The 5284-nt window shown below is 53.5% G+C and overlaps 1 pseudogene; it reads left to right on the top strand.

Annotated features, from left to right (window-relative positions):
• On the top strand, positions 412 to 1854 carry SAPCD2P4 (suppressor APC domain containing 2 pseudogene 4; annotated as a pseudogene).

Raw genomic sequence — 5284 nt, 5'->3', positions numbered from 1 at the left:
TCTAATTTGAATTTATATCAGCTTATCACATACCAAAATTCTACTGCTATATAGCTCTACTCTTTTTACGTTATTGATGTAACAAATTATATCTTTATTCATTGTATACCACCTAACAAATTATCTTTATTCATTGTATACCACCTACCAGATTTATAATTATATTTTATGCATTTGTCTTTTAAATTCTGTAGAAAATAAAAAGCGGAGTTACAAACCAAAATTATAATAATACTGTTTTTATGTTTAAGTATTCACCTTTACCAAAGAGCTTTATATATTCATATAGCTTGCTTATTTACTTATATAGTTACTGCCTAAAGTTCATTTATTTCAACCTGAAGGACTTTAACACTACTTGTATGGCAAATTTAGAGATAAATGAATTTTTTTCAGCTTTAAAAAATCTGGGAGCGCTCTGGGCCGGCCCCTCCATGGGGCCGCCCGGGAACACACGCGGGTGGAGGAGGGGACCGAGCCCGGGCACCTGTGGCCATGGCCGCCGTGGCCGAGCGGGGCCGCGTGCCTACCCCCGTGCCTGCGCCCGCGCCCAGCACTGAGGGGCTGCCGCGCGCCTTGCTGCAGAGCCTGCACACCCTGTTCCACATCTGGACAACAGGCGGTGCGGCTGCAGGCACCTGCACGAGATCCAGTCTCGCTGGCAGGGCGCCAACACGTGGGAGCAGCCACGCGGGGTGCTGGAGGGCTTGTGCCAGGTGGCCCAGGCCAGCGGCTACTTGACCTTCGAGCGCTTCGTGGCCGGCTTGCGCACCACGCTGCTGAGCCCGATGGCGGCCCCTGGGACCCCACATGCGCCCTGGCCGGGACCAGGGACCAGCCGCCGCCGCCGCCGCCGCCGCCGCCGCGGCAGCGCCTGGTGTTAGCGCCCGCTGAAGAGCCGCGGACGGTCCTGGAGAGGAAGCCCCAGCCCCTGGGCGTGCGCGGCCATCTGGCCGTCCCAGCGGCGCGGCCCGCAGCCCGGAGCAGCTGTGCTCCCGGGCCGAGGCGGCGCCCTGCCCCGTGGAGCCGGAGCTGTCCCAGAGCACCGCGCTGGAACCGAGCCGGAGTGCAGACGCAGGTGCAGTGGCCTGCAGGGCCCAGGGCCAGGGAGGCGGACTCAGGGGATGCCTGGCGGGCCTCCAGTGCCCCAGGGGAACGTCGGAGTCACACCATCACCAGCGGTATGGACTGCGGCCTGCTGAAGCAGATAAAGAAGCTGGAGCAGAGAAGGCTGTGCAGTTGCAGGCTTTGGAGATGACGGCGCGGGGCCGCGGCTGGTACCAGCAGCAGCTGCAATGAGTGCAGGAGCACCAGCACCGACTATGGGGCTGCGGGAGCCCCCGCCCACTGGGGCGGCTACTGCCCAAGGTACAGGAGGTGGCCTGGTGCCTGAGGGAGCTGCTGGCTGCGGCCTGTGCCAGCCAGGCCCTGTCCAAGTCCTCCTCCGCCCCCCACCCGGTCCTGCCCGCACGTCCACTTCGTCCCTGGGCCGGCAGCAGCAGACCATCCTCATGCTGAATGAGCAGAACCGACTCCTCACCCAGGAGGTGACAGAGAAGAGTGAGCGCATCACGCAGCTGGAGCAGGAGAAGTCAGCACTCATTAAGCAGCTGTTTGAGGCCCGCGCCCTGAGCCAGTGGGACGTGGGCGCCTCTGGACTTCATCTAGTCCGTGTGGGCAGCGCGGGCCCCCAGGGCCGGCCTGGCACTCAGCCCTTCGAGGTTGGGCGCCCCATCACACCCACCTTCTCTGGCTGGAGACCCCCGGCAGGCCCAGACAGTCCCAGAGTGGGCGCCTTCCTGCCCGCATTGCCAAATGGGCTCCCCAGGCCTGCCCCCGGCTGGTCCCCACACCAAACCCTTGACTCCGTTTTAGCTCCTGGTGCTGACATGGGCTGGGGCTGTCTTGAGTCTGCATAGTCCGCAGCTACTACTGCCGCTGTCAGTGGACAGTGGGGATCACCTCCACAAGTTACCATCCCCCATTTCCAGCTGTGCTGCCCTGGGTCCCATCTACAGGGAAAGGCACTGCTCACGCCAGGCTGCACTTCCAACAACTGCCAACAGAAGGCGCTGCGCGGCTCCGATGCGGGTCCAAGGGCAGCTTCCCCCCTCAACCAGGGCACCAGGACAAGGTAGCTGTCACTCTAACGGAAGCAGATGGAGGGGGTGGGGATGACCTGTAAGCGGGGGGTGCCCGCCTGGCCGGGTAGACCCAGGGATGGCGCTCGGACTTCAGGTCCTGGCCAAGGCTGAGGGACTCTGGCTGCAGTGGATCGGGGAGCCGGGTGGGCGAGATCTTAGCCTGCATGTATCTCCCGCAAACCCCGGGGTGATGGCTTTCCTCATCCTGGCCAGGACACTGCCCCACGTTGAGTCCCACACAACAGTGTGTGAGCCTGGCTCCCCAGGAGGGCCCCCAGACAGCTCCCAGGCACATCATAGGCCTGCCCCCCAACCCCCCCAAACACACACTCAGGATTCCCAAGGTTTGGGGTCCTGCTCACCCCCGTTTCCTCTCACACCCAGCCCGACCCCAAGTTTCAGCAGGGAGAGGCCACTTCCCTCAGCCAAGGAAAACGAGAACCCCTACAGTACAGGAGGAGGCTGGGGCAGGTCCCCTTGGGTGTCAATCCCTGCCCCCCAATCCAGGTCCACTCCCGCTGGAACACACTGGTGGGGGGGCCCTGCTCAGCCCAGCCTGGAGGGTCCCAATGCCACCAGAGCCAGGGGCACAGAAACATCATGGATGGGTTCTGCAGCCCAGGGTCCCCGATCCAGGGTCAGTGTGTGTGGGGCGCAGGGACCCTGATGCGGGGTCATTGTGTGTGGGGCGCAGGGACCTCTTGTTGCCCAGGCTGGAGTGCAGTGGTGTGATCTTGACATGGAGTCAAGTTAGATACCCATCAATGGTAGACTGGATAAAGAAAATGTGGTACATATATACTGTAAAATACTACACAGCCATAAAAAAGAACATGTCTTTTGCAGCAACATGGATGCAGCTAGAGGCCATCATCCTAACAGAATTAACATAGAAACAGAAAACCAAATGTTGCATGTTCTTACTTACAAGTGGGATATATGGACATACATTGGGTACATATGGACATAAAGATGGGAATAGCAGACACAAGATGCTACTAGATGGGGCAGAGGGAAGAGAGAGGGAAGGCAAGGGCAGAAAAACTAACGATTGGGTACTATGCTCATGATCTGGGTGATGGGATCATTTGTACCCCAAACCTCAGCATCACATGATATGTAAGAAACCTGCACATGTACTGTCTGAATCTAAAATAAAAGTTGAAATTATATAAAAGAAATTACACGTATATGGCTGGGCGTGGTGGGTCCCACCTGTAATCCCAGCACTTTGGGAGGCTGAGGTGGGCAGATCACGAGGTCAGGAGATCAAGACCTTCCTGGTTAACACGGTGAAACCCTGTGTCTACTAAAAAATACAAAAAAAAAAAAAAAAAATAGCTGGGTGTGGTGGTGGGAACCTGTAGTCCCAGCTACTCAGGAGGCTGAGGCGGGAGAATGGCGTGAACCCAGGAGATGGAGCTTGCAGTGAGCCGAGATTGCGCAACTGCACTCCAGCCTGGGTGATGGAGCAAGACTCTGTCTCAAAAAAACAAAAATTACATGTGTATATACTTATTGGCACTCTTAAAGGCTGTCAGGGCTGGGCTTGATCTAAGCACAAAATGACTCAATCACAGAACCGACCCAACCACAAAAATTGATTGATTTAATCACATTAATTGAATTTTTTTTTTGAGATGGAGTTTCACTCTTGTTGCCCAGGCTGGAGTGCAATGGCTCTATGTCGGCTTACTGCAACCTCCGCTTCCTGAGTTCAAGTGATTCTCCTGTCTCAAGCCTCCCAAGTAGCTGGGATTACAGGCATGCGCCACTATGCCTGGCTAATATTTTGTCTTTATTTTTATTTTTATTTTTTGAGACTGAGTCTCGCTCTGTCTCCCAGGCTTGAGTGCAGTGGCGCGATCTCGGCTCACTGCAAGCTCCGCGTCTGGGTTCACACCATTCTCCTGCCTCAGCCTCCGGAGTAGCTGGGACTACAGGTGCCCACCACCACACCTGGCTAACTTTTTTGTATTTTTAGTAGAGATGGGGTTTCACCATGTCAGCCAGGATGGTCTGGAACTCCTGACCTCGTGATTCGCCCGCCTCGGCCTCCCAGAGTGCTGGGATTACAGGCGTGAGCCACCGCACCTGGCCTATTTAGTCTTTTTAGTAGAGTCAGGGTTTCACCATATTGGTCAGGCTGGTCTCGAACTCCTGACCTCAGATGATCTGCCGGCCTTGGCCTCCCAAAGAAATTAACTGATTTAACCGCAAAAATGTCATGATGGAAAAGTGAAACCATCATCAGAAATTTTGAATATTTAAATAGCATATTTAGATATTAAATTTTAAAAAATATTTTGAAATAATACAAAATAAAAACAAAACAAAACCTTTTTATTGTTCATCACAGAACGACGCTCTCCTCAAAAATATATATATCACACGAATTCATCACAAAATACACTTTTTTTTTTTTGAGATAGAGTTTTGCTCTTGTTGCCCAGGCTGGAGTGCAGTGGTGTGATCTTGGCTCACTGTAACCTCTGCCCCCTGGGGTTCAAGCGATTCTCCTGCCTCAGCCTCCCGAGTAGCTGGGATTACAGGTGCCTGCGACCATGCCTGGCTAATTTTTTTGTATTTTTAGTAGAGACTGGGTTTCACCATGCTGGCCAGGCTGGTTTCAAACTCCTAACCTGAGGTGATCCACCTGCCTCGGCCTCCCAAAGTGCTGAGATCACAGGCGTCAGCCACTGCACCCAGCCCAAAATATACATTTGTAACACACAAGTCAAGAAACAGAACATTGACAGCACCCCAGAATCCGCCCATGGCCCTTCCCAAACACTGTCTTCTCTTTCCTCCTCAAAGGGAACCCTCATCCTGACTCCTAACACTGTAGATCCCCTTAGCTGAGTTTGTGTTTGTTTTTGTTTTTACCCTATATAAACGGAATTATGTAGTTTGCATGCTTTTTTATTCAGCTTCTTTTGCTCAACACTTTGCTTGTGAAATTCATTTATGCTGTCATATATAGCTGTGGTTTCTTTTTTTTTCATTACTATGTACTGTGCCCTTCTGTGATATACCACCATTTATTTAGCCCTTCAACTGCTAATGGACATTGGGTGGTTTCAACCTGGGCTATTCCAAATAATGCTCTCATGACCATTGTTTTTAGATGTCTCTGGGTG

Source organism: Homo sapiens, chromosome 7 (genome assembly GCF_000001405.40).
Source record: "Homo sapiens chromosome 7, GRCh38.p14 Primary Assembly".
NCBI lineage: Eukaryota > Metazoa > Chordata > Mammalia > Primates > Hominidae > Homo > Homo sapiens.
The sequence above is the reverse complement of the archived record's forward strand: the minus strand, read 5'-3'. Positions and strand labels throughout refer to the sequence as shown.